Source organism: Homo sapiens, chromosome 2 (assembly GCF_000001405.40).
Source record: "Homo sapiens chromosome 2, GRCh38.p14 Primary Assembly".
Classification (NCBI taxonomy): domain Eukaryota; kingdom Metazoa; phylum Chordata; class Mammalia; order Primates; family Hominidae; genus Homo; species Homo sapiens.
The window spans coordinates 96,110,633-96,138,623 of NC_000002.12; the positions used below are offsets into that span (position 1 = coordinate 96,110,633).

Below are 27,991 nucleotides of genomic sequence, written 5' to 3' on the forward strand. Positions count from 1 at the left end.
TCTGCCCAGCTCCTCTTTAACTGCATTCTGCAGCAGCGCCTCCCTTCCAGCAGGGACGTCTTAAGAAAGGGGTGTCTGGAAGGATGATGTGACCGGCTGAGACAGCTCCCGTCCACCTGGTGAATTGCCAGGTAAAGCACCCCTGCTGGCCTCACACCTGCTCCCCGCACCCACCACCCTCACCTCCAGGTGACTTGCCAGGATTACTCTTGGAGGCAGAGGGCTGCACCCACCCCACTCCCGCCTCTACTGTTCTCAGCCAGCCTCATCAACCTGTAGCCCTCAGATGGGCTCAGGGCGAAATCAAAAGCAGGTCCTACTCACAGAGAGCTTCAGGAATGGAGCATGAGAGAGAAGAAAGCCTGATCGGGAGCCAGGTCCTGGGCCCAGCTCCAGCTGCACCCCGTTAGTCAAGGGGCCTGGGCAGGTGCCTGAGACTCCGCCCCCCAGTTCCTCATCTGAGAACTGAAAGAGACAGCAAAATGGGGACGAGCCCAGCACAGGTCCTGCCACACAGGTCAGCGGATGTTTCCTGAATGTGGGCCTGTTATTCCTTGAGTTCGGATGCAATTCCTTCAGTGTGAAAGTGTGGCATGATGGGCAACCTGGGTCTAGATCTAGATCTACATCCAGCTCAGCCAGCTGTGTCTGTGTGACGCCCTCTGAGGCAATTCAACTCCTCTCTCTGGGCCCCAGTCTTTTCCTTCATACAATTCAGTGGTTGGACTGAGCTGTCAGGAATGGAAAGCCTGGGACACACCTGCCATCAATTACATATTCTGTGGCATTGACAGACATGAACAATCAATCACAGCATGGTCACCTGCTGAATCCATCCACGTGCAGTTTCAGGATCTTCAGATACCCAGCGCCACTGAATGAGAGCTGGCTGAAGAGATGGAATCACAATTCTTCATCACCTGAATTTCATAGTTTTGTGATTTCAAGACCTAGAGAGGCCACTTTAAGTCTCAATTTCGTTTTTTGTAAAATGATCATTCTCAGCAAGGTTGTGAGGATTAATGAGATAATGTATTCAAAATGGGCTTGCAAACAGTCCTGCTCTAGGAGGGGTACCTTTCCACCACCATTTCCAGAGTCAGGGCAGGGTTCTCTACTCCCAGGCTCAAGGGCCTGCCCCTTGCAGACGCTTAAGCACTGGGGACAATGTGGTCAGCAGAAAGAGCCTGGGCCTGGATGACCTCAAACAGGTCATTACAGCTTTCTCAGCCTGCATTTCTCTAGTATAAAAGGGGCTGATACTTACCTTACAGTCAGGCATAAGGATTAAATGAGGTCATCAGACAAAACCAGAAGAGCCTGGATCAGTAAAAGGGAGTCAATGAACCATCCTCATCACCCACATCAGGCCTCTGGGTGTCAGCAGTGGGTGCTTCGGCAGGTGTGGGAAGCTGAGAGCAGGGCAGGGCATGTCTTTCTTGTTAAGTCCTCAGCAAAGCCCATGTCCCCGTGTCTGTCAGTGATGGTGGGTACACTGGAGGTCTCGCTGGTTGTCCCTAGCAGAAGCATGGCCCACGCCAGTATGGAGGTGGTGAGAGTGAAGATTCTGGGCCAATGTGGAAGTAGAGGGGTGGCCTCACACTGAGGACCCTGGGGCTTCACGTGTCCTCCTTCCTCCCTCCCCTCCCTGGGCTGGCCACTGGCACTGGCCCTGCCCACGGCCTCCTGCTGCCAGCCTGCCATCTGCCCCCCTGCCCATGGGAGCAGGCCCACCTGGTTCAGGCTCCAGGGACTGCCCACTCTGTGGCCACTAAGTAGGGCAGGAAGGCTGTGGCACCAGACCACCCGGGGCTAGCTTGGGGCTGTTTTCAAACCCAGCCACAAATCCACCAATCACATCCTTTACACATGCCCTTCCCCCTACCCAAAACACCCTCCCATCTTGCTTCTTGGTGTACTCCTTCTCTTCCTCCAAGACCCAACCCAAAGGCCACCTCCTCCAGAAAACCCTCCCTTTTTTTCCCTCCCAGGGAGCCAGTCTCAGGCTCCTCCAGCCACCCTCACCCATTGGCTTGTGATGATGAGTAAGGATGCTTTGTGGACAAAGGCGGGTAGGAAGGGCAGGGGCTTGGGGGAACCAGCCAGCCACATCTCGGGGAGGAGAGGACTACTGGCCCTGGGAGGGAGCCCCAGGTCATTAGGCCAGCACCCAGAGTCTGCTGTGCCAGCAGCTGAGGAATAACTGCTCCAGGCAGCCTTTGGGCAACAAGGACACCACTTACTTATTACAAAATATCCTTTATTGATAAAATAGCTCAGAGTTTAAAAAAAAAAAAAACACCACCTGCATGTCGCAATAAGAGGTCACAGGCAAGAACACTGGGGGTCCCATGGGGCGCACACAAGACCGGCCAGCAGAGGGTCACAGTCAGTCCCTCTCCTGGCCCAGCTCCCCACCACATCCCAGGGCGATACTCTGGCCTCAACAACCCACTGAGGACCAAGCTGGGAAGCCTCCCACACCCCAGGAAGGACTCTTTTTGGTCCCCTCCATTCTCTCTACACCCAGAAAACTCCCTCGGTGCCCTTCCAAATCTAGCAGGTCCATCTGGCCCATTCCCCCGACACCTGCCAAGCTAAGATGCCTACTGGCCCAATGTTGAAGCCAGGCCCTCTCCAAGGGAAGGCCGATAAACCTCCTTTCCACACTTCCAACTGTTCTGGGTGCCAGGTTTTGGGGTGGGACTGAGAACCAGGAAGCAGGGGTCCTCAATGCACAGCCCCATCAGCATTGCGGGGAGCAGCGTGGCTGGGTCCGAGGCAGTCCACAAGCACCCACCTGGGGGGATCAGTTGTGGTTCACAAGGACTCATTTGGGGCTTGGAGACCTGGCCGGGCACTCCAGTGGGAGGCTCCCCTAGGGGCGCACCAGGCTCTGATGCCAGTACCCCACCTGGGGGCGCTGCCACCTGTCACAGGCTCTCATCTTAGACTGTTGCCGAGGTGTGGATATTTTGAGCTGTCTTGGGGAGACAATTTGCCTCCTTGATGACAAAAGACTTATCCCCCACTGGGGAGACCCAAGCCACTAAAAACCCTCTTGGTGTTGCCGGTGAAATGTCGAAACGTTGTCATGTAGCGTAATAACTCAGACCTTTGCAGCCAGAAGAACACATTCTCAAAGAGATCCTTTAACTTGAAATAGTGATTCTGTCTGCCACTCCCGGCTTCCAGTTCGGGGTAGGAATTCACACACCCCAGGGACAGAACAAAAGTCTACAGGAAGACAGGTGGTGGTAAACACAGAGGAAAGGGATTTTTATATCACCATATAATCACATTTTTGGTTCTCTAGTGTGTTCCCCCACAGAGCTCAAAGCTTTCTGCAAAGCCTTTCATCTCCCTGCAGCAAGTAGGCAGTGAGCTATTGTCGCCCCGATTTTTGCAGGGGGTGAATGCCAGTGATCGGGGATCTCCCGTCGAGGCAGAGACCAGGCCTCCAAGACCGCCCCAGCGAGGCATCCACGTGGCCACCCACCTACCGGAGGGGTGCTGGGTAAGGAAGCCGATCCATTGTTCTGGCTTTCAAAGGAACCACAGATCCGAAAACAGGCAAAGGGGGAAAGGAGGGCCCAGAGACGATGCCACCCCATAAGCCCCCATCCCAGCGCCTGCCAGGGACCGCGAGTGCCTAGCGTGGGTGATCAGTCTTCGTTTCTTCCTCCCCCTCAGCAGCAGGCCCCACTGGGAAAAGTGGAAGGCTGGCTCCGTGCTCTTTGTGGGTGGGGGGGAGATGAAAAAGAAACGAAAACACCACAAGCAAGTGACCTGCCAGGAACACAAGGTCCTCAAGAAAGGGAAGCCCAGACATTGGTCTGGAGAGCATGGGGCTCTGGGAAGAAAGTGCTCTCTCTTCTCCTGGTCTTGGCTATGTTCCAGAGGATTTGAACCACCTCCATCGGCCTGTGCTCAGGGAGAGGGTGGAGAAGGGGTCCCCCACAGCTAAGCCGGCAAGGGGAAGCTTCACTGGGACCCTTGCTAGCAGCCCCCCTGCCCACCCCTCCCAAGGGGTTCCTAAGATGAGGCCTACAGGATCTGGGCAGGGAGCAGAAAGCCCAGGGGAGGCAGCCACACACAGCAGGGCAAGAAGCAGGGTGACCCCGGCGCCACCGCACCAACCCCACAGGGGCAGCGCAGGCGGGCTCACCAGGCCGTCTGGGTCCACGGGCGGCACAGGATCCTCCGGAAGGCACGGCGGAAGTCCTGGTTGAAGATGGTGTAGATAACAGGGTTCAGTGAGCTGTTGCAGTAGCCGATCCAGAAGAAGAACTGGAAGAGGCCATGGGGCACCTTGCAGTGCTTCGGGCAGATGGCTCCCAGGCTGTAGCTGAAGAAGAAGGGGAACCAGCAGAGCACAAAAACGCCAATGACCACAGCCAGCACGAAGGTGAAGCGCTTCTCCCGGGTCAGCTGCGCCCGTCGACGCCACCACTGCCCACCTATAGCACCCACGCCCCTGCCCAGGAGCACCTGGCCACGTAGGGTGGCCAGCACCCGGGAGCCCTGTGGCTGCTGCAGCGGGGGGCTGCAAGCTGAGGCCGGAGACACTGGCACTGCCTGGGGTTCACACTCTTCCTCCTCCTCCTCCTCCTCTTCCTCCTCTTCAGCTTCATCCTCTGGAGATGCCCCACAAACACCCTCCTTCTGGCCCTGGCCTGAGTTGGGAAGGGCAGCCCAACTGGGTGGCAAGGCCCGGGTCCCAGTATCTTCAGGGGTCTCCCCCTCCTCCTTCTCCCCAGTGGACTTCGAGTGTCCGTTGACCTCTCTGGCAGAAGCCACAGAGGCCAGGGCTGGCAGTTTGGCTGAGGCCAAAGCCCCACCATGGTCGGGTCGGGGCTGCTTGGACTCACCCTGCCCAGGCCCCCCCTTGGCCCTGGGACCTCTGCGGTTGCTGCGTTTGGCGATCAGGTAGATGCGCAGGTAGACAAGGATCATGATGAGGCAAGGAGCAAAGAAAGATCCGATGCTGGAGGCCAGGATGTACCAGGCCTCCTGGTTGAGCTTGCACTGGGGGCGCCCGCGCGGCTGGGGGCCCTGGTCGCCCTTGTAGATGAGGGGCGGCAGCGAGATGACGGCGGCGATGAGCCACACAGTGAGGATGATGCACTTGATGCGGCGCGGGGTGCGCTTGGAGTTGTACTCCAGCGCGCGGCTCACGGCCCAGTAGCGGTCCAGGCTGATGGCGCACAGGTGCACGATGGACGAGGTGCAGAAGAGCACGTCGAGCGCCAGGTACACCTCGCACCACGTGCGCCGGAAGTACCAGTAGCCCAGCAGCTCGTTGGCCAGCGAGAAAGGGATGATGAGCGTGGCCACCAGGATGTCGGCGGCGGCCAGCGACACCAGGAACAGGTTCTGAGGGGCGCGCAGCGAGCGGCTGGTCAACACAGCCAGGATGACCAGAGCGTTGCCGAAGATGGTAAAGAGAATGAGGAAGGTGATGGCCGCCGCTATGGCCGCTGTGGCCTGCACGGAGTAGGGGTCCTGGTGGTCCATGACGGGGCGGGAGGTGGGCAGAGGGAGCGCTGCCCGCCCAGTGCGCACCGTGGACGACAGCGCTGCCCGGCTCGGCTAGACAAGAGCGTCGCCCCTCGGGCGGCGCCGAGGGCGCTGGAGCCCCATGGCCTGGACGAGCGGGGCCTAGGAGGTCGGGAACACCCAGGACCAGCAGCCGCCCTCCTACATCCTCCTCCACCGGTGCCCGGGGTCCCTGCCGTCCGCCCCAGAGAAGTTTCCCAAGTTGTCCCGCCGCCGTCCCCGTCCCGCCCGGGACCGGAGAAAGTCGCGCCCTCCCGCCACGCGGATGCCGTACGCTCTGGGGGCGCGGGCCGGGCTGGGCCGGTTCTTAAAGGAGGCGCGGAGGACCTTGCGCCCGCTCAGCTCGCAGGCTTTCGCCCCAGCCGCGCCTGCAGGGGAGTGGGGAGCGGGGAGAGCGGCTGGAGGAAGGCGGAGACTGGAGGCGGGCGCGGGAGCGGGCGGGAGGCGGGGCGGTGGGCGGACCGAGGTGGGCTGAAGGTGCGCTTCGCGGGAGGCGTGAGCCCGGGACTTCCCGCGCCCGGACCCCGCCCAGCGCCTCTACCTGCCTTCCTCCCGGCGGCCGCGCCTCGGGAGAGCGGAGGGGCCCGGCGGCCGGGGTCTCCGGCCCCCAGGCAGGACGCGCGCAGCTGTGGAGGGGTCGGTGGGTGCCGGGAGCCGGGACGCGGAGCTAGCGCGCGGGCCGGCACCGGGACGGGACACTTCTCCCGGGGGAACCGGGCTGGGCCCGGCGCCGGTGCGCCCTGCTCTGCCTTCCGCCGCTCGGGAGCCCGCAGGGAGGGCAGGGCGGGCGTGGGGCTGGGGCGCCGGGTCGCAATACACCACAACCCCGCCCGGCTCGGCCGTGGAGACGCCCTGCGGAGAGGTGGGGGAGCGGGGAGCGGGGAGCCGGTCCCGACCCTTTCCCAGGCGCTGCCCCTCGCGGACCAGCTCCGTCGGGCCAGCGCCGCGCGAGGAGGGCGCGTCCCGGCCTGCGAGCGCCCCCTGCTGCCGCCCGCGGGCCCAGCCCGTCAGCGGCAGCCCGGGTCCCGGAGCCAGCGCTCGCAGCCTGGGTCTTAGGACTTCGGCTTCTTGTGTCTCCGCAGCTGCCTCAGTTTCCTCCATTAAGGGCAAAGGAGGTAACAGGGAAACTGGCTTGGACTCGAATCACAGCATCAACTGCGATTCAGCCAAGGGTTTGTACGGGGCACAGGGCGAGCTGCCGCCCCTTGACTAATGCGAAGGGGAGGTCCCTTCCTTGCCGTGGGGGAGTAAAGGGTGGGGACTTTGTCACACAGCTCCGAGAAAAAGCAGGTCTCAGGGGCAGCCGTGAAGAGAGGAGCGTCCCTCCGCTTCTGTAGTGACCCCGGGGGAAGGGGTTGACCCTCCCTCCCTGCTGCGGTCCTGCCCCACATACACACTGAAGCCCTTCTGGGGGTGACAGTGGAAAGAGGGTTGGGGTAAAAAGAAACTTCAGACTAAGGCCCCCCACTCGCCTTCAAAGCGCTATGAGCAACTGTTCTCCCTCAGGGCCCCAACTCACTCTCCCTGCCACACCGCCACCAGCACCAGCCTGGGCAGCCCTGAGGGCATGTTTCCCCGGTTCTGGAGCCCCTAATGTCATAAGCCCCGCCTCGAGCCAGGCCTCTTATTCACAGCCCACGACTCTGCAAGGCATCCTCTGTATAAATAAGCACCAATCCACCTCTGACAGTGGGGCTCCCCCAGGCCCCGTCCAACCTGCTGGACCTCCTCTCCTCCCTGCTCCCTCCATGGGAGCAGAGCACGTGGCCTCTCAGTGCCCACGGACAATGTCTAGCGCCTCCCCAGGCTCAGGTGGGAGGTGCCCCGTCTCAGGTACCCAGACCAGCACCCCCAGCCACGGGGGTGTGTTGGGAGTAGGTGCCTCCTTGATCCCCCCATCCCTGTCATTCTGCCAGACTCCCCAGCTTCTGGTGAGGTGCAAGTGCCCACAGCCCATGGGGTGGATGCTGCCAGGGCTGGGTTCGGACAGGGCAATCAGCCTCCTTCCCACCCCCAACCCTAGGCTTCAGCTCAAAACCGACCACTCTGCTAGACACAGTTTCCTGGATGTGTCTTTCCCACCCTCTGGGCTGGGCAGGGCCTGGGCGCCGCCTGGGCATACATAACCAGTGATGGAGAGATGCCAGTAGCTCTTTCCCTGAGGAAGGACAGAGGGTGGCCATGAGAGCCTGGGAGCAGCTACTTAGGCAGGTGCCTGCCTATCCAGGGGCTCCCAAGGCCTTCACAGTCTGGGCCTGCTAGAGGCCCACATGGGCATCGGGAGGAACCGCCTTTCCACTGTCTCCAACCACACTTGGGCTGGGGGCCAGTGAGCAGCTCCCCAGACTCTGCAGCCAGCATCAGCCTTTGTCTTCTGACCCATCTTCCTTCAAGGGATGCTGCAGGAGCTGAGACTGGGTTGCCCGTGTGCCCTCCCCACCCTGCAAGTCCCCACTGAGGACGCTTACCTGGGCCTTCCTAGAAGTGACAACTTTGGGTCTACTGAGTGCCAAGCCTTGCTAGGCATCTTTCATTGGGCCAGCTAGGCACTAGGCCAGGTGGGGACAGCCAGGGACAGAGTCTACAGCTGGCAGACCTGGGAGATGTGTGCCCTCCGGGCAGCAGGAGCTGCCTTGGCATCCATACCGCTGCCCCAGGCTGTCACCGTCTACTGCAGCTGTCTCCTCCTGGCTCCACCCCAGGATGGACAAGTGCAGCGTGGGTGCGCCAGCTCTCCACGGCCACGCAGGCCATAACATAACTCAGCTCCTGCTCCTCTCGGCGGCTCACCATCTCCCCCCGCACACACACACCTTCAGGCCTTGCCTGCTCCAACCAGCCCCATGAGGCTGCCAGGTGCAGGAATTGGAGCCTACTAGCATAGCAAGGCTTCCTTCAGCTCTTCCCAAACTAGACCTGACCTTCCACTGTCATCCTGTTCCACAGGAACGGGCATAGTTCAGTCCCAGACCAGCAACAGCCAGCAGCAGGAGCAGCCGGAGCTTTCCCAGACACATAGCAGGGGAGTGGGCAGCAGGGCACAACCTGGATCCCAGCCCTCCATCCCTGCCCCGCCAGGCCAGTGTTGGATTCTGAATGTGCCCTGGGTCTCCACTCTCTAGACCTTCCCTGGGGCTGTTTGCTCTGATAGAGATGCCCTATCACCCTTCCTTCTGTGTTTGGTGGGCTCCTACTCACATTTCAAGGCCCACTCACCAGTCACCAGGCTCTCAGGCAGAGGGAGGACCTCCATTCTCCAGGTTCCTCGACGCCAGGCGGCACCACTTTCACACTCAGCACACTGTACTAAGATGCTCTCTGATGGGTTTGTTGCATCACCTCTGCCCATCAGAGTGGACATCCCTTCTCTGTCCCCAGTACCTGGCACAAGGTCATTGGCCGTGAGGGACAGTGGCAGCAGGCAACAGTGCACTCATACACATGAGCATTCTAAGACAGATAGCCCAAATGAGGGTGCCCTGGAGGGATGTCCTTGGGAAGAGGGGCCATGGGGAAAGGACCTAGCCATGGAAGCGATCCACCTTTTCCAAAGAAGGGCAAGACTGTTGTCCCATTGCTGGCTGTGAGACCTTAGTTGGAAGCCATGGAGACACTTCTCCAGGCCTGAGAGGTGAGATGGTGCCACCAGATCTCCTGGGCTGGGGCTCCAGCAGCTCACAACGGTGCCTTCCCTCCCCTAAGGGCCCACTGGGACAGACCCCCATCAGGCCACACACCCCACCTTTCTCCAGATGTACCCCGCCCCCCACCAGCCTTTCAGTCCCTGGGACTCTTAACCCCAGACCATCCTGTATGCCCCAACCTCCCCACTTCCCAGATCCTTGGGTCGTGTCCTCTATAATAGAAGTCAGTCGTCCTCTCTGCATAAAGATCTTGACAAAACCCCAGCTCTGGTCAAACCTAAATCATCCACCCACTGCCTGCCTTTGACCAAGCAGCTGCTCTTTCCGGAGCAAAACACTCTCTGCATCGACTGGCCTCACTCTAAATTCATGACCACAAATCTCCAAACTTCCCTAGTATGCTCACTTTCCCACTTGTTAAAATCGGCATCCCTCCCTCCCTCTCCAACCTCCCAGCCACTCCTCCGCCCCACCATGCTGTGACTCTGCCTGGTACTTAGGGGGAAACGGAAGTCCAGGCAGGAACTCACCCCCGCCGCCCACCTGCATCTGGCCTCAAACTCTCTCTGCTGATTGAAGGGCAAGTCCTCAACCTATGCCCTAGAGCCCAACCCCTCTCATCTCACCCCAGGGTTCCCCCGCTTCAGTTATCCCCCTCTTATGGTCACTGCCCCTACTCTACAAAGCCAGCCCCACCCCTTAGAACTGCCCCCCAAGCCCCATCACCTTTCTGCTGCCTCCCATAGCCACCTTCCCCCCGTGTCTGTATCCAGGCACTGTGGCTGACCCCTCACATTCTCTCCTTAACCCCCGGCAGGTCATCTTCAGACCCTCCACCGAGGGTCTTCTGTGGGTCATGCCCTACTCCACATCACCAAGCACCAGGCTTATTCTGCCCTCTTTCTCAGCAGCACTTGGCACAGCAGCCCTTCCCCTGGAACACTCACAGGGTCTGTGACCGCCTTGAAAGCCACTCCTCTGCAGCCCTTTCTTCTCCCAAACTCTTAAGTCAGAGGTTCTTGCTAAGAGTGATTCTCCTCCTCTAAAGGACGTTCGGCAATGTCTGGAATACAGGGAGGGGGCCGCTATTGGCATCTGTGGGTAGAAGCCAAAGATGCTGCCAAATGTCCTGCAAGGTTCAGGGCCGTCCCCACAATAAAGAATTACCAGGTACAAAATGCTGCAACGCTGAAATTAAGAAATGCTGCTCTAAATGCAGCAACCCAGCTCAGTCCGGGGATCCTTCCTCTTCCTCTACACGTGTGGCTCCCCTCCAGATTCGACAGCACTCCCCCAGGCACCTCCTGCCCTGCTCTCCCCGCTGAACCCCAGACTCCTTCAGCCCACCTACTCTCTGACCCCTTTGATGTCGCATGGACACCTCAGACCTGACATACCCATTTCCCCCAGCCCTGCCTTGCCCCGAGGTCCTCAGTGCTGGATTCTCAGTGAATGGTGCAGCTCCCACCCAGAGCCTGTGCCCTCACCCCATGCATGCAATCACAAGTGGGGCCACTGTGACCCCTAAACACTCCAAAGGCACCTGCTCCTGTCCATCTCTGTAGCCTCTCTCCCTTGCATAACCTCAGTGGCTTCCCGGCTGTTCTGCTTCCAGCCCATTCTCCAGAATGCATCGAGGACGTTTTAAACCTTAAGTCGGATGTGGCACCATCTTCCTTCAAACCTTCCAGTAGTTGCTGCCTGTTGCTTGTGGAATAAAACCCTCCCCATCTCTGACTTGGCTGTGGGCCCCTCCCCATGCCAGTTACACAGACCCAACACACCTTGCTTTCCCCTGCCTCAGGGCCTTTGCACTGGCTACTCAGGAATTCAGGAAATTCAGTTCCTGAATTTTCACAGGCAGCCTCCTGCCATTTAGGGCTAGGCTGAAATGTCACATCCTCAGAGGGGCCCTTCCTAACCAGCAGCCTAAGGGGGTGCTCTGCTCTGCCATCATTTGCCAATGCCAGATGTTTTCTGGTTTGCTGACTTATTGTCCAACCCTCCCCACCCTGAATAAGCTCCACGAGAAGAGGAACCCACCTTGCTCACTGCTATTCCCAGCAGAACAGAGACTGCCTACCTGGTATGTTGGATGAGTGAACAAATTGAGCCTACACAGCTGCATGGTCGGTGACTGGGGAGGTGAACAAGCCACAGACCCCTGGGAGGGGATGGCTAGCCGCCTGGGCTTGGTTTACACCCCAGGGCCCTGTACCCCTCCCACCACCCAGGCTGGGGCTCAAACGACTGAACCTTGTCCCTGTGCTCCCCTTAAGCCACCAGGCTCAGACAAGTGGCATCTTCAAGAGAACAAGATCGGAGACCAAGAGACAAATCCCAATGGAGGCTGGTGACGGGTGGCCCGAGCCCCAGGGTCCTCCCTGGGTACGAAGCACAGCACCTCCTTCCACCCAACAGCAGAGGCCGAGAGGAGTGCAAGCCTCTCTACTGTCCTTGATAAATGGGGCACTGCATGTACTGCCTCTGTCCTAGGGCTGCCTCAAGGTCTCTGCCTGGAAGCCTCCCAGCGGGGCTGTCCCCTACTCCTTGGGGCATGGCCAGAGCCCCTATCCACTCTACACTCACGCAGACCCCACTCCCCCAGCCAGGAGCAAGAGGAAGAACAGCACCTCCCTGCAGTCCTTCCCTTGTGCTAATGCCTGGGACTGGGCCACTGTTCAGTCTCAGGGTTCATGACTCATGACTGAAACCCAAGGCCGACTGAAGGTAGAGGACACAGTGTCCCCTGAGTGCATCCCCATGTCCTCAATGCGGCCCCAGCACGTGACCCTCCAGAAGGCTGGCAAACAGCAACCTCTCCCCAGAACTTGGGAACTCCAAGCTTCAGCCCTGCCCTGCTGCTTCTTGGCCAGGACCCCTGGAGCACTCGCTGAAGTCTTTGTCTTCCCTGGGAGGTGGGATAGCCACCTGGGGCCCCAGAGGGCAAGGGGTGTTAAAGGCACACAGGAGGTGGGAAGGTCAGCACAGCACACTCCACTTTATTTCCTCCCCCAACATGTGGGGCTCCTGCCCCTTCTACCCCAAGCAGGGCTTCCTTGACCCTCTGAAAGGCCACCAAAACAGTACCCTTGGGGACTGAGGGGCCTCTGGCCTAGGCCCACTCATTGGCACCCTGGATGCTTTCTTCATGCCTGGGACAAACCTCATGGGGAAAGCCGGAGCTGGGGCAGAGGAGTAGGGCCTGCCTGGAGGAGGCCAGGCTGGGAGCTGGGGCAGAGGAGGAAGGGGGCTTTCCTGGAGGAGGACAAGCCAGGTAACCCCAGCCCTTTCTCCTTCCAAGGCTGCGCCTGGCTGAGCTCCAGGGAATAGCGGTGTAGGGTGGAGACAACTGAGTCCTCTGTTCAGGGGCCAGCTGAGGTTCCCATTGTGCAATCTGGTGGGGCCCCACTTCTTTCTCGTCTCCCCAATGGTGGCCACACTTGACCTACCACCTTCCTGCTCTGCAGGGGAGTAAGTTGGGCTCTCAAAGCCTCCTGGAGAGAAGGGCTGGAGGCTACACTGCTGTAGAACATTCCCCCACACTTGGGCATGTTGGGTGGGATGGGAGGCTGTTCCCAGGGTCCCAGCCACAGGGCTGCCCTGAGGGAGAGGTAGGGACACCATTAGTCCATGCTGGGGGGCAGGGCCTCAGGCACAGGAGGGATTCCAGGGTTCTGCGGGGCTGGAACCTACCTCTTCCCCACCCCTTCCAGGACCTGTCCCTGGAGAATGTCACCTCCCATTCCCAGCATCCACCAGGGCTGGGCAAAAGTCAAGAGCAGGCACAGCCAGGCCTGCCTTCCCCTGTGGCAGAGCTAGAAGAACCCCTGGCCCTAGGAGCCCTTAGGGGAACACAGTGAAGAGAGACAGGGGAAGAGTCCTGGCCCTCTGAGATGGGGTGGTAGGTTGGGGCTGGAAGACAGTGGTGTGGCCCAAAGGAGCCAAGAGGTAGACGACCCAGCTCCACTGGGCAGAGGATGCCCTCCCTACTTGGGGACAGAAGCCACAGGCTTAATCTTCGGACATCCCCTTGAAATGATTTCTAGGTACACAGCCCCCTGGCAGAGCTGGGCTTCCCTGGACAGGGACTGGCTGGATTCCTGCTTCTGAAGATGGGACTGTGGGCTTGGTGGACACTCCGGCCAGCCAGGACTGCTCCTGAGCAACACCGGGGGCACCTGCTCCAGGCCTTGATCTTGGGGAGGAAGCTAGGGTCTGAGGCTGCCTTGCCGAGGCCTCTGCACTGAGCTTTTTCAGGGCAGGGGACTCCCACCCATGTGGGCTCTCCCCAGGCCCTGCAGGAACGGGCTGGCCTCCCGCACTGGAACCACTGGGGTCGGGGCTCCTGGATTCCGCCGACAGTGCCTCCAAAAGCCGCTGCAGAGATAGGGAGGCCGGAGCGGGGCTCCTACCAGTGCTGTGGGCATGGGACCCTGCAACAGAAAAGACAGGAGGTGGAACCTCAGAACTGTAGGATGACATGTGGCCCAGCTGTGCGGACCCAGAGCTGGCTCAGCTCACAGGAGTGGTGCCCACCCATGCCACGGCCTAGTGCATCCAAGACCCAGATTCCCACCCTACCAGAGACCAGGACAATGAAGCCATCCCATCTCTTCCCTGCCTGGCCCCTGAAGTCACCATCAGAATGTCAGTCCACTCAGGCTTCCACCACTGCCCCATTCACACCCGAGACTGCTGGGACACTTAAGTCACCTGACCCAGCACCAAAGCGCCCACCTTCCGGACCCTTCACCCAGGTTGTTCTGCCTATGGCCATACCCTACCACTTGCCCCGAACCCAAGACCTCCCCTAGAACTGTTCCTGCACTTAATGGCCACATCTAAACCCTGCACCGTGCCAGGAGGTAGGTTGGGGCTTCCTTGTTCTTCACTGTCATGCCAGACTACAACTGTACCCCACCTCTTTGTGGGCACTCTTCCTCATTCAAGCCCATGTTCTCTGGCTGGCCCCAGCCCCTCAGCACTGCCTCCCATCCCAGTTCCTCCTGCGCATGCAGCGAGGGCTTCACCAGGAGCCTCTTCCCTCAGCTGACCCTGACCAAATCCTCACTCCCACACTTCAACTGGTGACTCTTCTACCAGGTCCTGTTAGCCTCACAGCCCACACCGCCCTCCAGACCTGGTCAGCACCAGGAGCTACCACCACTGCAGCCTGTTCCTGGGGGCCACCCTCCACAGTACCGCCTCCACCTGTGCACACTGAGGTAGCGCGGCTCTGCAGATACTCCCCAGACCCAGCATCATCCTACACCAGCCCTCCCCACTTCAGATCACTCCCACCTACATAGGCTTCACAGCCCCCATGGCAGTCACCCCTCGGAGGTAGCCTCAACCACCTTTCCCTGCTGTCACACCTGCCGCCAGACCCAGCCCTAGAACGCTAGCATCCCCCACCTCTACCAGGTGTCTCCTGCTCTCCAGTCAGCGGAGGCACATCTTCTCCTTTGTTTCCATCCCCTTCTCCCTACCTCTGGTGGCCTCACCTCTCCTTATGTAACAGAGTCCCCAGCATCCATACATCAAGATCCTCCTGCAGACTTGGGTCTATTCCTGTCTTCTTCCTTCCCACTAGATCCAAGGAAATGCCTCAGCTCCCACCATGTGCAGCCTTTTTCCAAACATTCTGGGTGTCCTTTCTCCCCGCTATATCCACCCCTCTCCTCCAGCAGGTCATGGTTCCAGCATCTGAATGTGCTCCCATGCTCACCATCTTGATAGACCCAGCCCTTGACCACAGGCCTTTCCACCACCTCCCAATTCCCTAGTCATGGTAGTCAAACCTCTAGAAAAATTGCATACAAGGCCAAGCATGCTGGCTCACATCTGTAATCCCAGTACTTTGGGAGGCTGAGGCAGGCAGATCACTAGAGTTTGGGAGTTCAAGACCAGCCTGGCCAACATGGTAAAACCCTGTCTCTACTAAAAATACAAAACGTAGCCAGCATGGTGGTGCTCACCTCTAATCCTAGCTACTCGGGAGGCTGAGGTGCACAAGACTCCATCTCAACAAAAGAAATTACGCACAAATTTCTCACCACATCTGTCCTTTAGGGATTTTTTTTTTTAGATGTTTAGTACAGTAAAAAAAGTGTAGGGGAAAGAATGGTGCTGGAACAACTGGCTAGTTACATGAAGAATGAAGTTGAACCCCTTCCTTACACCCTGTTCAAGGGTTCACTCCAAATAGGTCATATACCTAAATGTAAAACCTGAAACTAAGACTTACATGGAAACAGGAGCAAATCTCCATGACCTCGGGTTAGGCAAAGGCGTCATAGACACCAAAAAGGAGTGACAAAATTGGTCAGTTGGACTTCCAAATTTAAGATGTTAGTGTTCAAAGGACATTATTAAAAAGTGGGAAAAACAAAAAACATAGGAAGTGATGAAATATTTAAGGGCAACATCTGATGAGGGACATGTGTCTAGAATATATAAAGAACTCTTACAACTCAGAAGAGAGAACCCAATTGAAGAAAAACAGACAGAGGATATGAACATTCTCCAAAGATGCAGATGACCAACAAGCACATTAAAAGATGTTCATCATTAGTTATTAGGGAAATGCAACTCAGAACTACAATGAGATACTACTTCACACTCACTAGGCTGGTTCTAACCAAAATGATAGATAAGAAGTGTCAGCAAGGATGGGAGAAATCGGAACCCTCGTATACCGCTGGTGGGAATAAAAATGGTGCATCCACTTGAAAATATCTTAGGCACAGTGGCTCACACCTGTAATCCCAGCACTTTGGGAGGCCGAGACGGGTAGATCACGAGGTCAGGAGTTCGAGACCAGCCTGACCAACATGGTGAAACCCCATCTCTACTAAAAATACAAAAATTAGCCGGGCATGGTGGCACATACCTGTAGTCCCAGCTACTTGGGAGGCTGAGGCAGGAGAATTGCTTGAACCCTGGAGGTGGAGGTTGTAATGAGGCAAGATTGCATCATTGCACTCCAGCCTGGGCGACAGAGTGAGACTCCATCTCAAAAAAAAAAAAAAATCTTAGCAGTTAAACATGGAGTTATTGTAGGACCTAGCAATTCCATTCCTAGCTGTATACCCAAAAGAAATGACATGTTGACACAAAATCTTGTACATAAATGACCATAGTAGCTCTATTCATAATAGCTGCAAAGTAAAAACCCAAGTGTCCCTCAACTGGTGACTAAGTATGGCATATCTATCCAACGGAATGTTATTCAGCGATGTTATTGATACATGCTACAACATGGATGAACCTTGAAAACATTAAGAAGCCAGACACAAGAGGCTATGTGTTATGATTCCACTTATGGGAAATGTCTAGGCAAATCCGGAGAGGCAAAGTAGGTTAGTGATTACCTGGGGCTGGGGGCAGAAGCAGGTAAGGTAGTGAGGGGAGGGAGAGGGCATTTGCATGCAAGATGACCTAGGAGTAGAATCTGGGTCAGGGGTTATGTACACTTCAACCTTCCAGGATGTCAAATTGTTTTCCAAAGTGGTTGCAGCCACTCATATTCCTATCAGTAGGGTCTAGCATTTCCATTCATCACTCTATATCCTTAACAGTATTTGGTATTATTGGGCTTTAAAGTGTCTAGTTTAGTGGCTATAGAATGGTATTGTAGACTTCATTTGCATTTCCTCAATTACTGAGGTTGAACATCTTTAGTGTGTTTCCCATTTGGTCTCTGAGATGTCTATTAAGTCTCTTCCCATTTTTCTATTTGATTTTTTTCTTTGCGACAGAGTCTGGCTCTGTTACCCAGACTGGAGTGCAGTGGCACGATCTTGGCTCACTGCAACCTCCGCCTCCCAGGTTCAAGTGATTCTCCTGCCTCAGCCTCCCTGAGTAGGTGGGACCACAGGTGCACACCACTATCCCACTAATTTTTGTATTTTTTTTAAGAGACGGGGTCTTACTATATGTTGTCCAGGCTGGTTTTGAACTCCTAAGCTCAAGCGATCCACCCACCTCAGCCTCCCAAAGTGCTGTGATTACAGGCATGAGCCATCACACTCAGCTGGTTTGTTCTTATATTAATGTGTAGTTCTTTATGTATTTTGTATACAAATTATGTGTTGCAAAAAAATATATTGGGGCCAGGCACAGTGGCTCACACCTGTAATCCCAGCACTTTGGGAAGCTGAGGCAGGGGGATCACCTGAGGTCAGGAGCTCAAGACCAGCCTAGCCAACATGGTGAAACCCCATCTCTAATAAAAATACAAAATTAGCCAGGCATGGTGGTGCGTGACTGTAATCCCAGCTACAAGGGAGGCTGACGCAGGAGAATCACTTGAACCTGGGAGGCAGAAGTTGCAGTGAGCCAAGATCGTGCCATTGCACTCCAGCCTGGGCAAAAAGAGTGAAACTGTCTCAAAAAAAAAAAAAAAAAGTCTATTTGTAACCTGTATTTTCACTTTCTTTTTGGTGCCTTTGGACAAAGTTATAATTAATGTAGTTGAATTTATGAATCTTTCTAGTTTTACAATTAGTGCTGTATCTCATTTAAGTGATCCTTCCCTATCCCAAGGTCATGAAGAGATCTTACTATATATTTTTTTTCTAAACATGTTAAAGTTTTTATTACATGTGTCTTTCATGCATCCAGAGTTATTTGCGCATGATATGAGTTAGGGATTTTTAAATAGATGCTAAATGGCTCTAAGACAACTAAGTAACTTAACTGTCCTTCCATAGTGACCATCAATGGCCCTTCATCAAGGCTCTGCTTCTGAATGGAATCTGTTTCTAAATTTGATTCTGTTCCAGCGGGCAATTGTCTAGCCTTGCTCCAGTGCTATGCATTTATGTAAAGACGTTTCATGAACTAGATGACTAACATCTGCTAGGACAAGTCTTTTTAGTTTTTCCTTCAGGGATGTCTTGGCTATTATTGACCTTTCATATTCTCATATAAAAACTTTATAATCACCCTGTCAATCGGGAGGCCAAGGCAGGCGCATCACTTGCGGTCAGGAGTTCAAGACCAGCCTGGCCAACATGGTGAAACCCTGTCCCCACTAAAAATACAAAAATTAGTTGGGTGTGGTGGCACGCACCTGTAAGCCCAGCTGCTCAGGAGATTGAGGCACAAGAATCACTTGAACCTCGGAGGCAGAGACTGCAGTGAGCCGAGATTGTGCCACTGCACTCCAGCCTGGGTGACAGAGTGAGACTCCATCTTTAAAAAAAAAAAAGAAAAAAAAAATCACTCTGTCAAGATCAAACTTATTTTGAGTGGGAATTTATAGATTAATTTGGGAAGACTGAATTTTTATAACATTGCCTTCCTTTCAATAACAGATTTATCTATATTTAAGTATTATTTAACGATTTTAATAAAGGTTCATTTTTCCTCAAATGTTTGATACAGCTGTCAGATTTATTCCTTGGGACCTTTATGATTGCTATTATAATGGTATGTTTACTAACAATTGTGTTTTCTAACTGGGTGTACAGAAATATGATTTTTATATTAACTGTATTTACCTTTTCTAATTCTTATTAGTTCTAATAACTTGTTTATAGATTGTTGCTTTCAATACAGGTAATCATCTATTATGAACGATTTTTTTGCTTCCTTTCCAATCCTCGGACCTTTAGTTTCTTTGGCTCTACCTCGGTGCCCAGGACCTCCACTGCCACACAATGTGGAGTAGATGGGACAATGGTGGGAAAACTTGTCTTGGTCCCAGTTTTAATGTTTTACCCTTAACTTTTGTTCTAGGTTTTTGGTAGATGTTTATTATCTAGGCTAAGCAAGTGAGCCCTATTCCTCTTTGGTTACAGTTGAGTCATAGTGAGTGTTAACTTTCCTCAAGTGCTTGTTCTGCGTCGTTGTGGCAAGCCCCCGTGATCTCACCCTGCTCCCCCTGCAACCTCATCTCCCTCCTTGTCACCCTCCCTGACACCATTAGAGCACAGGCGCCTTCTCCAGGTTCAAGTCACCTTCCTGCCATGCCACTCACCTCTCCCACGGGGCCTGGGGCCACTTGGGCTGCAGCCGTAGAGTTTGAGGACCCGGGTGATGTCCGAGGCACTCAGGTTCCATCGCTGGCCGATGTGGACACTGGGGGCCCAAAGTGGTGTGATGGTGGGCAGCCCACGCCGGCTGAAGGCGAGCCTGGAACCCAGCGGGAGACCCCTGAGTCCAGATCACCACGGGAGAGGCTGGGGGAAGCAGAGGGAGAAGAAGGCAGGGTCCTCACCTCCCATAGTGCATCACAGAGGAGTAGTCATAGGGCGTCAGCATGTTGCTGCTCTGAGACTTGATGAAGTTGATTTCAAAGCCTAAAAATACAAAAACAATACAACTTACTGATATATAAAGAGGGCAGGCAAGAAAGGGCAGGCAATGGCTGGGAGAGTCTTCTGGGAGCTCATAACTCACCCAAGCTGAGGGGCTGAGCCCACAGCCACCATGCTGCTTCTGGTACCAGTCCCACTTTCCCAGCCCTGGGAGGATCCCCAACCTGTACTAGTTGAGGTAGAGGCACAGGGACCCCATGGCTGGCCAACCATCACCTCCTAGCTGTTCCCTCCACCCATCCTTCCTCCTTGCATATTCAGTCTGCACGGGGCTGGTCTCTGCATAAGCCACAGCTGCCACGGGTCCCACACTGCTCAGGGTCTCAGATGTCCCTCCCACCCCAGATGAAATGTCTATTCCTTGACCCAGCTTTAAAAAGCTGCCACGCTGTCATCTGCAGTGGTGATGCCCTAGTCCCCAGTCACAGGCCCACCTGTTCTTCCTGTGTCAGGCCACAACACTTCCCCAGATTTGGAGCCCATCTCCCCCTCACTCAAGTCCCCCAGGCCTTCAGAGGGATTGCTCCCCCAATCCTCCCAAATCCAGCCAGCCAGCCACGCATACACGCCACCTCGGTCACAGCAGCTTCCTCTCCATGGAGCAAATGAGCCCTCCAGCACCTTCATACCCCACCACCTGCCTAACATAGCTGCCTCTTGAGCTCTTACTTCTTTTTAAAAATTCATTAAACATACTTTTGAATAAGTAGTATATTCATTTGGTTCAAAAGTCAAATATTGAGATGTAGTAAAAGTCTATTCCATCCCCTGCTTCCTGAGTTCCCACCTCCCCGCCCCACAACAGTTAATTACTGTTATTAATGTGTCTGCCCTGGCAGTTTCTGTACATGTTAACCTAATGAGAACATATTAACCTAAATGGGAACAAATATGTTCTCATTTTTTCCACTGGGGAACCCGTGTTTTAGCCTGTTTTATCATTAGGAATAATTATTAGTGCTGTTTTCCAACTCAATTTCTGCTTTTACCTTTTGAAATTCCCTCCTGCTTTCATTTAACTTGGGTTGACATGCTCAATTTGTTCTGTTTACTGATACGTAAGTCTACACATTTTCTCTGAGCATTGCTTTAGCTGTGAACCATTGGCTTTTCTAGTCTTTCATGATTTTTTTTTAGAATTGCTGTACTTTAACTCCAGAGCTGAAAGAAAGTTTTGTTGTTTTTTTCAATTTCTGAATAGGAGAAGCTTTCGGTTTTGATGTATCGGTTTCTACTTTATATCATGATCAGAATGTTTACATTGGTCTACTTTCAGAGTTGCAGGTTTTCATGGCATTTCATGGTATATCATAAAATTATCAGGGTAAACTTTCACAACTGTTCCACGAGCATTGGGAAGGATCAGTCTGTTTTCAGGGTACAGAGTCACTTGTCACCCCCCTCACAACCTCCCCAGCCTGGTCTGATTCAATATCCATCCCCTCCCCCTTTGTGAGGTGCTACCCACGTGCCCCGTCACCCCTTTCTCTGTGACTCATGTTTGCTGAGAGCCACTGAGAAAGCGGTGTTTGGGGCCTGGGAAGGTCCTTGGGCCCAGGCAGCTTCCCTGGCTGCCTCACCTGGCTAACATGACAGCCCTGAAAGGTCTCGTGCTGGACGCCCTCCACCTGCGGTAGGCCTTCCTGCTCCAACCCCTAAGCCAGACTCCCACCCAAACCTCCTCTGCCCCTCCCTCGTGGGGCTCTTCCTGCCTCCTGAACCAGACCATCAAGCCCACAATGAGAGAGACCCCACCATCACCAGGATCTGATCCCCGGCGCCACACAGCCGCTGCCAGCACAGGAACCACAGCCCACCTGCCTCCAGCCTCCACTCTCCCATGGCCACAGTCTGTGTTCCTTCTGCCTGCTCACTGGCACCACTGGCACATGTCCCAGCCCCACAGTGCTGCCCTCAGCCCGTGGCCCAGCACTTGGCTTGTGCAGCCTGCTACCTTGGGGTCCCACTTTGGCTCAGCTCCCCAAGCTGGCACACAGCCCCAGTCCATGGTGGTGGTATCTGGTACATGAGACCGCTGCTAGAGTACTCAACAAGCAGGTATCATGGGCACTGCCTGCCCCATCGCCAGGGAGAGGACAGTGTCAGGGATGAGAAGCGAGACAAAGCAGGTGGTGGCGCCCTAGCTAAGGCACAACTACAGGTGGGTAGAGGAAGGCCTGGGGCCCAGAGCAGCACCCAGAGTACCACCTCCAGGTACCAGGTACCAGACAGAAGTGAGACCCCCACCTTCCCCACAGGAAGCAGGCAGGTGATGGGGAGGATGGATAGCCTCACCCATGGGGACCAGGCGACTTGGGCCCAAGCCGTGCTGTCCCCTCCCCGGCACCAGCCTGTCCTGCGTGTGGCCTGGCTCACCTGGCAGGATCTCGTTCCAGTTGACACGGATATAGCGGTCCCGGTCGGCCCGCGTGTGCTCGTGCCAGAAGCCCAGCACATGCATGAGCTCATGAAGGACAATGCCCCGGCCCTTCTGGAGACACGTGGGCGCCAGGGAGACCACCTGCATCCCTCCACTGCGCCCCACACTCGAGAAGCACCTGCAGGGTGATGAGAGCAAGTGGGGTAAGTGCCAGCCCAGATCCCTCCGGACATACAGACCTGGGCTCTCCCTCCCCACACAACACAAGATAGACAAACTCCCAACAGGCAGGCCCCACTCTGGGCTCTAGTCTCAGGTTCACCATTCTCCAGGCCCCTTTACTGCCTGGACTTCTGTGAAATGGCCATACCGGACCCCCATCACCAGCCTGGGCTGCAGGGAGGCTGCAGAAACTGATATATGAACACAGAGGACAGAAGCAGCTTACTAAGTGAGCACACCCTCCTGGTCAGCCCTAAGCCAAGGCTTTCACACAAATTGCCTCAGGCCCCTGACAAGCTAGGAAGCAGGTATCGCCACCACTCGCACCCCAGAGGGGACAGAAGAGGCTCAGAAGTTAGGGGACTTGCCAGGACTCAGTGACTCACGCACTGTCTGCCCCGCAAAACCTCCTCTCCTCACCACCTCATGGAGTCCCCCGGGAGAGGAGGGCTTTGTAAATGGAGGGTCTAGCACCGTTCCCATCCCTTTCCCACATTCCGCCCTGGAGGTCCAGCTCACACTTGGCAGACCCCTCAGGGTGGGCAGGGAGACTGAGCCCTGGAGGATGGGCCCAGGAATACATTTTAGACAATGGCCAAGTTAATTCCGGGCTGAACGCAGAAGCGAGCTGAGATACGCATCCTGGCCCCGGCACTTACCCATACATGGGGATGATGGAAATGAAGTCTCTCTGGTCCTGATAGGTGACAAACCTGATGCACGTGGAACGTTCAAACTCCGCAAGAGCCTCCAGGATGACCTGGCGGCTGGGCTCATCTGGAAGACACCACCTGGCTGAGCCCCCAGAGCCCTGGTGGTCTTTGAGCTCTACCTGAGGGTCTGGGAGCAGAGCTCTGAACTCACTCTCCCAAAATAGCATCAAGAAAGGGCAGCTTAGTGGTGCCAGGAAGAAGCTGGGCCCCAGACAGACCCTGGCTGTGTGGCCTTGGGTAGGTCACTGTCCTCTGCACCGCATGGTCTCAAGGGGAACCAGATCCCCACTCGACATACCTTCCCATCAGATTTTAACCCTCCCTACTCAGGAGACCTTCAGCAACAGAAGGGCATCTGTGGACAGGTTCTTCGGGTGGGGAGGTGGAAGGGATGTGATGGTGTAAGAGGAAAAGGGAAGAGAGGAACACCTGCCGCATTAGGAAGAAGGGGCTGAGGCAGGGAGGGAGCGCGCCATGCTCACTCACCGTACTTGCTGGAGAGCAGGAAGGGGACCTCCACGACACCACTACCACCCATGGGCCATTTGTTGCTGGTTGCTGACAGCAGTCGGAAGGGACTCTGAGGAGAGAGCAGCAGTTCAACCCCTGGGGACAGAGGCCACCCAAGCTTTGTGCCCCAAGGGTACCACACCCCAGGGCACCAGAACCCCAAAGATGTGGGAGTCAGGACCTGTGTGCATGGGAATGGGGGACCATTAGAGATGGGACAGAGCTGTGGAAGGCAAGGGGCCAGCTACATGAACCTTGATGCACAAGACAGTCCCTTGGCCTATGATGAAAGAATTTCAATCTCAAGCAAACAAGAGATTAGTCCCTGAGGATGTTGGCTAGGAGGCCCAGCACCCCAGGGTGCCCTGAATCAGAAGGGCTTGGGCCAGCAGCCCCACTCCAGCATGTTGACAGTGCCCCTTCCAGAGGGGAACAGCCACCAGGCTTCCCTGAACATGGGACGATCATGGGAACAGAGCCATATGGAGTGAAAGTGAGGCAGCACCCTGGCCTCGGCTGCTTACTTCTGCTCTCCAGCAACCAGAGCCCTTCGGTGCCCAGGCTCCACAGCACCCCAGCGTGCCTGTGCCATCGGCTGGAGGCATTTGATTCTGCTCCGGGTGGTCGCACACCACCTGCCCGAGCACTCACTGCATAACCCAGAGGGTCTGCCCTGCCCCCGGAGTTCCTGGGCAGCCTTGGGCCAGCCTCTGGCTCTCCTGCCCAGCCAGAGGCTGTGCCGTCAGTGGCAGCCTCCAACAGGACAGTCTTGCCTTCCCCTGGGTCACTGTCCTATTCAGGAGCCTTCTGCCATTCGCAGTTGCCTGAAACACATGGCTGCCATCCTGGGCACAGTGTTCCCTTTTCTGTTAGCAAGGCGCCCCAATCCCCAGCAACCTTCTCCCTTCAGATGCGGCCCCTCGACCACAGCCAAGATGGTCAGGCTCAACATCACTCCTTGTTCCACCATCCCTAGGTCGCCACTGCCACCAGGCCCTTTATCTGCCACTGGCCACTCTGCCAACCCTTGCTCATCTCTTCCTTTATCTGAGCACCTCCCGAGTGCTGAGCACCTCCCCTGGGCAGGGTACCAAGCTGGGTCAAGTGTTCAAACCTCCTCCTTCAGGAAGCCCTCTCAGGCTGACTGTGCCAGCACTTCAGATACCAGCCTTCCTTAGCATTCAGGCTGGCTTATTCCTATTTCCTAACAGAACAGTCGCTCTGACCTTGACAAAAAGAGGCATCTACCAAGCTATGTATGTCCCTCACACATCAGGCCCCATGGCATCCAGGGTGGGCTCAGAGGACCTGTCGCCAACTGTGGGCTTATCCGCACCCACACACGTCAGTGTGTGCACTCACCGGCCGGATGATGTCCCCCTCGATGAGGAAGCTGCTCTCTGGGGTTTCTTCCAGGATGAGCCCTGGGAAAGGAAGAAGGACGTGTTGGCCCATGTCCCCCAGAACACTGACTCGTGGGACAGGCCAAGCAAATCCCTACTTACTTAAGTCTATTCTTGTGTCTTTCCTAGTGGATTGTTACTTTTATAAGTTCTTAAATAGCCTGATAAAAGTATAGGTCATCGGCTCTCCGAGCCTGGGTGTTTAGTTAAGTCATTAGTTGATGTTTGAGAATGTCAGCCACCCTGTGCGGACTGTCTGCAGGTGTGAGGGGGCTGGAGGACAAAGACAAAGGAGACTGAGGCTTGGGGTCTGTCCCTCTCCTGACTGTGGAGCTAGAGGTTCCCTGAGCACTGAGCCTGCGTGGCCTCAGGGAAGTCACACAGTCCCTGAGTGTGCAAGGCTTCTCGGCTGGACTGCAGCCTTCCCCTGCTCAAACACAGCCCATGACCCACGCAATCCAGTCCCAAGCCCGGGTCCCTGCTGTCAGGAAGCAGTGGCTTCTTCCAGCCTGAGCCACACTCCTCAGAACAGGCCCTGGGGTCTCCTGCCCACCTCATCCCCCATCTATTCCCCACCCATCTGTTATATTCAGGCCCCTTGAGGTGGCAATTTTGTTCCACAAATTTGTTCCACCATCAGAGGCAGGCAAATACCGGCTCTCGCAAGCCCCTCTCCCCTCTTAGTCCCTCTGCTTCTCATCTCTCCCTGAGCCGGGTCTCCCACAAGTGACTCACAGGGGGAGTGAGGGAAGCAGGAGAGAAGGCAGGGAAGAACCCAGGCACAGCCTCAGCCAGATCCCATGGGCGCTCCAGACCACAAATGACACCGCTGACTTGTACCACCTTTAGGCAGGAGCCAGACTCCTGTCCCTTAGAAGTCACAGTAGGCCACCTTGGGCAGACAAGGGAGTAGCCCCCGGGCATCTCTGGCTGAGGCAGCTCCTTCTGGCCAAGGGCCAGTTTTGGGAGGCAGACAGCTGTGCAGCATTAGCCATATTCACAGTGGCTGGAGATGGGCAGGTGCTTCCCAGGAAAGCACTGGGTAAGGCACGGGCAGCCCTTATGAGACAGCCTCACCGTAGGTGATAGGATAGTTGTTGGGGTCACCAGCATTTGGGAGTTTTCTCCATTGGTTCTGGTTACCTGCAGACCACTCACGGTGATCCAGGGGTGGGATGGTGCCTGGGGCTCAAGGCTCAGCTGGCGCTGGGCTCCCAAGTCAGCTCACAGAGGAAGAAGGGGGCAGATCACACAGTGGCTACCACATCTGGTAGGATCTCACCCACCCTTAGGGCAAGGTTGTCCCCTGTTCAGCCCGATTGCTTCAACCCTGAGTGCTTCAGCCCTCATTGCTCCAACATCTGAACTCCAGTCTCCATTTCAACTGGCTTTGTTCAGGCTATTTATACACCCTCATTCCTCAGCTGACATCCCCAGACAGCAAGGCCCTGAGCCTGACTTTTGTTTTTTGTTTTTTGTGAGATGCTCTGTCGCCCAGGCTGGAGTGCAGTGGCGCAATCTCAGCTCACTGCAAGCTCCGCCTCCCAGGTTCATGCCATTCTCCTGCCTCAGCCTCCTGAGTAGCTGGGACTACAGGCGCCCGCCACCACGCCCGGCTAATTTTTGTATTTTTGGTGGGGACGGGGTTTCACTGTGTTAGCCAGGATGGTCTCGATCTCCTGACCTCATGATCTGCCCGCCTCAGCCTCCCAAAGTGCTGGGACTACAGGCGAGAGCCACCGCACCCAGCTGAGCTTCAGACTTCTTAATCACACCTGCAGACAGTCCTGCACAGGGTGGCTGACAATCTCAGACTGCGACTAACCGCTTAGCTCCACGCCCAGGCCCTTTAAGAGCTTGGTTTTTCTTATAAAAGTAACAATCCACTAAGAAAGATACAAAAAGAAAGAGTAGACTTAAGCAATTGCCCATAGAATTTCCACCCATTCACACCTGTAGTCCCAGCTGCTCGGGAGGCAGAGGCAGGAAGATCACTTAAGGCCAGGAGTTCAAGACCAGCCGGGGCAATATAGCAACACCACTCCATCTCTTAAAAACCACTTAGAGCCCAGAGTAAGCTGGTCCATTTCCTCCCAGGCTCTGCATTTCTGAGTGTTCGGTGTGGTTTTCACACTACATAACGTCGTGCCCCTCCAGGCCGTGAGAAGATGTAGTGCCCTCACCTTGGTTAATTGCAGGAATGTCCTTGTCCCCGGAGGCCTGGGTTCCCTCAGGGGTGAGGCCATCTGGGAAGCTGGTACCACAGGCTCCTGCGCAGCTGGAGGCCAGGGGCGCTCCTAGGATCACACCTGGTCCAGACAGACAGGGGCATACACAGATGCCTGGAGCACCCACCGGTGAGACCAGACAGCAGGACATGGGGTGGGTGTGGGGGATCAGACGGTAAGACTCAGTCCCTAGGAAGAGTAGGCTCCAGCACAAAGCCAAGGAGCCTTCCCAGCCTCCCTGCTCAACCCCAACTGGTGCCAAGGTCTAGATGACCTCAGGGAAGGAGCTCCCTTAGGGGGACCAAAAGGGACCATGTGCCCCACCTATGAGGTAGAGGAGGGGCAGGAAGGAAGGAGGCAGGACAGACCTCGGGTTCTGACGCCCGTGACGGGCAGGGCCAGCCTCAGACCCCACCTTATGACTCTCTCTCAGCCCAGGCTCTTGGACAATGGGCTCAGCCTGGATGACTCCCTGCCTGACCAGGCTGGAGTGGGGACTTACAGCCTACCCCCACCCCAAGACAAGTAGGCCTGGGGCACAACACTTATCTTCTGCCAGGCAGGCCCTCTGCTTCCAGGGCCTTCAGGAGGCCTCCCCTTGGCCCCCCAGGAGCTGACTTCTAGAATAACCCTGGAGAGCTCTGTGCTCTGAGCTACTGAGCTCAGCTACAATCCCTGCAGGCTCCAGCCACAACCTTCTAGCCTCTCCCCAGCTTTCTCCAGGCTGGAGCCAGCAGCAGGAGGGACAGGCAGCCAGCTTACCTGGCAAGGAGAGCAGACCCAGCACCCAAGGCCAGAGACCCCCTACACCCTCCATGGTAGAGCCCTGCTGCCCCTTCAGCAAACAAGACCAAGCCCCAGCAAGACACAGTAACCTAATTGCAGAACCGGCACCACCACCCCCTCTTAAATAGCAGCTGCTCCACCTCCCACCTTGCTCCCCTCAACCGCCTCCACCTGCAGCCCCGCCCCAACCACCTCCACCTGCAGCCCCGCCCCAACCA

At 55.9% G+C, this 27,991-nt stretch overlaps 2 protein-coding genes across 5 annotated transcripts, besides 10 other annotated features; both read right to left on the bottom strand.

Moving 5' to 3' along the window:
• Positions 2,244–5,939, bottom strand: ADRA2B (adrenoceptor alpha 2B). The gene has a single exon (NM_000682.7). The coding sequence runs from the start codon at positions 5,515–5,517 to the stop codon at positions 4,165–4,167; it is 1,353 nt and encodes a 450-aa protein (NP_000673.2). The 5' UTR covers positions 5,518–5,939; the 3' UTR covers positions 2,244–4,164.
• Positions 5,839–5,928: a silencer, noted in NCBI's record as "silent region_11747". NCBI's record gives its function as "represses an Ori minimal core promoter by ATAC-STARR-seq in GM12878 lymphoblastoid cells {active_cell/tissue: GM12878}" and the evidence as "EXISTENCE:reporter gene assay evidence [ECO:0000049][PMID:35858748]".
• Positions 6,029–6,188: a silencer, noted in NCBI's record as "silent region_11748". NCBI's record gives its function as "represses an Ori minimal core promoter by ATAC-STARR-seq in GM12878 lymphoblastoid cells {active_cell/tissue: GM12878}" and the evidence as "EXISTENCE:reporter gene assay evidence [ECO:0000049][PMID:35858748]".
• Positions 6,199–6,658: a silencer, noted in NCBI's record as "silent region_11749". NCBI's record gives its function as "represses an Ori minimal core promoter by ATAC-STARR-seq in GM12878 lymphoblastoid cells {active_cell/tissue: GM12878}" and the evidence as "EXISTENCE:reporter gene assay evidence [ECO:0000049][PMID:35858748]".
• Positions 6,699–6,768: a silencer, noted in NCBI's record as "silent region_11750". NCBI's record gives its function as "represses an Ori minimal core promoter by ATAC-STARR-seq in GM12878 lymphoblastoid cells {active_cell/tissue: GM12878}" and the evidence as "EXISTENCE:reporter gene assay evidence [ECO:0000049][PMID:35858748]".
• Positions 9,643–9,692: a silencer, noted in NCBI's record as "silent region_11751". NCBI's record gives its function as "represses an Ori minimal core promoter by ATAC-STARR-seq in GM12878 lymphoblastoid cells {active_cell/tissue: GM12878}" and the evidence as "EXISTENCE:reporter gene assay evidence [ECO:0000049][PMID:35858748]".
• ASTL (astacin like metalloendopeptidase) lies at positions 12,186–27,932 on the bottom strand. Of its 4 annotated transcripts, NM_001002036.4 has the most exons (9): positions 27,750–27,870; positions 26,943–27,068; positions 24,719–24,780; positions 23,333–23,426; positions 22,793–22,910; positions 21,908–22,089; positions 19,432–19,513; positions 19,192–19,346; positions 12,186–13,639 (listed from the first exon to the last, which is right to left on the bottom strand). In NM_001002036.4, exons 1-9 carry the CDS (start codon positions 27,802–27,804, stop codon positions 13,218–13,220), a joined length of 1,296 nt encoding a protein of 431 aa, NP_001002036.3. In that variant the 5' UTR covers positions 27,805–27,870; the 3' UTR covers positions 12,186–13,217. The 4 variants fall into 4 exon arrangements, with proteins under 4 accessions (NP_001002036.3, XP_011509509.1, XP_011509507.1 ...); XM_011511207.3 differs by having other exon boundaries at positions 19,192–19,292; positions 26,943–27,932; XM_011511205.3 differs by having other exon boundaries at positions 26,943–27,932.
• Positions 20,698–20,927: an enhancer, noted in NCBI's record as "active region_16188". NCBI's record gives its function as "activates an Ori minimal core promoter by ATAC-STARR-seq in GM12878 lymphoblastoid cells {active_cell/tissue: GM12878}" and the evidence as "EXISTENCE:reporter gene assay evidence [ECO:0000049][PMID:35858748]".
• Positions 21,930–22,430: an enhancer, noted in NCBI's record as "H3K4me1 hESC enhancer chr2:96798301-96798801 (GRCh37/hg19 assembly coordinates)". NCBI's record gives its function as "activates a minimal SCP1, AML or CMV promoter by ChIP-STARR-seq in primed H9 embryonic stem cells {active_cell/tissue: H9 hESC(primed)}" and the evidence as "EXISTENCE:reporter gene assay evidence [ECO:0000049][PMID:30033119]".
• Positions 23,984–24,483: an enhancer, noted in NCBI's record as "H3K4me1 hESC enhancer chr2:96800355-96800854 (GRCh37/hg19 assembly coordinates)". NCBI's record gives its function as "activates a minimal SCP1, AML or CMV promoter by ChIP-STARR-seq in naive H9 embryonic stem cells {active_cell/tissue: H9 hESC(naive)}" and the evidence as "EXISTENCE:reporter gene assay evidence [ECO:0000049][PMID:30033119]".
• Positions 25,335–25,384: an enhancer, noted in NCBI's record as "active region_16189". NCBI's record gives its function as "activates an Ori minimal core promoter by ATAC-STARR-seq in GM12878 lymphoblastoid cells {active_cell/tissue: GM12878}" and the evidence as "EXISTENCE:reporter gene assay evidence [ECO:0000049][PMID:35858748]".
• Positions 27,725–27,794: an enhancer, noted in NCBI's record as "active region_16190". NCBI's record gives its function as "activates an Ori minimal core promoter by ATAC-STARR-seq in GM12878 lymphoblastoid cells {active_cell/tissue: GM12878}" and the evidence as "EXISTENCE:reporter gene assay evidence [ECO:0000049][PMID:35858748]".
• Positions 27,933–27,991: the final 59 nt, after the last annotated feature.

What these genes read in the sequence shown, in the direction of transcription:
- ADRA2B (NM_000682.7), bottom strand. Translation starts at nt 5,517, where the DNA reads ATGGACCACCAGGACCCCTACTCCGTGCAGGCCACAGCGGCCATAGCG.
- ASTL (XM_011511205.3), bottom strand. Translation starts at nt 27,138, where the DNA reads ATGTCCTGCTGTCTGGTCTCACCGGTGGGTGCTCCAGGCATCTGTGTA. An exon ending in CATTCCTGCAATTAACCAAG is followed by an intron (nt 24,781 to 26,942) that starts GTGAGGGCACTA and finishes TTCCTTTCCCAG; the next exon opens with GGCTCATCCTGGAAGAAACC. An exon ending in AGGGGGACATCATCCGGCCG is followed by an intron (nt 23,427 to 24,718) that starts GTGAGTGCACAC and finishes CTCTCTCCTCAG; the next exon opens with AGTCCCTTCCGACTGCTGTC.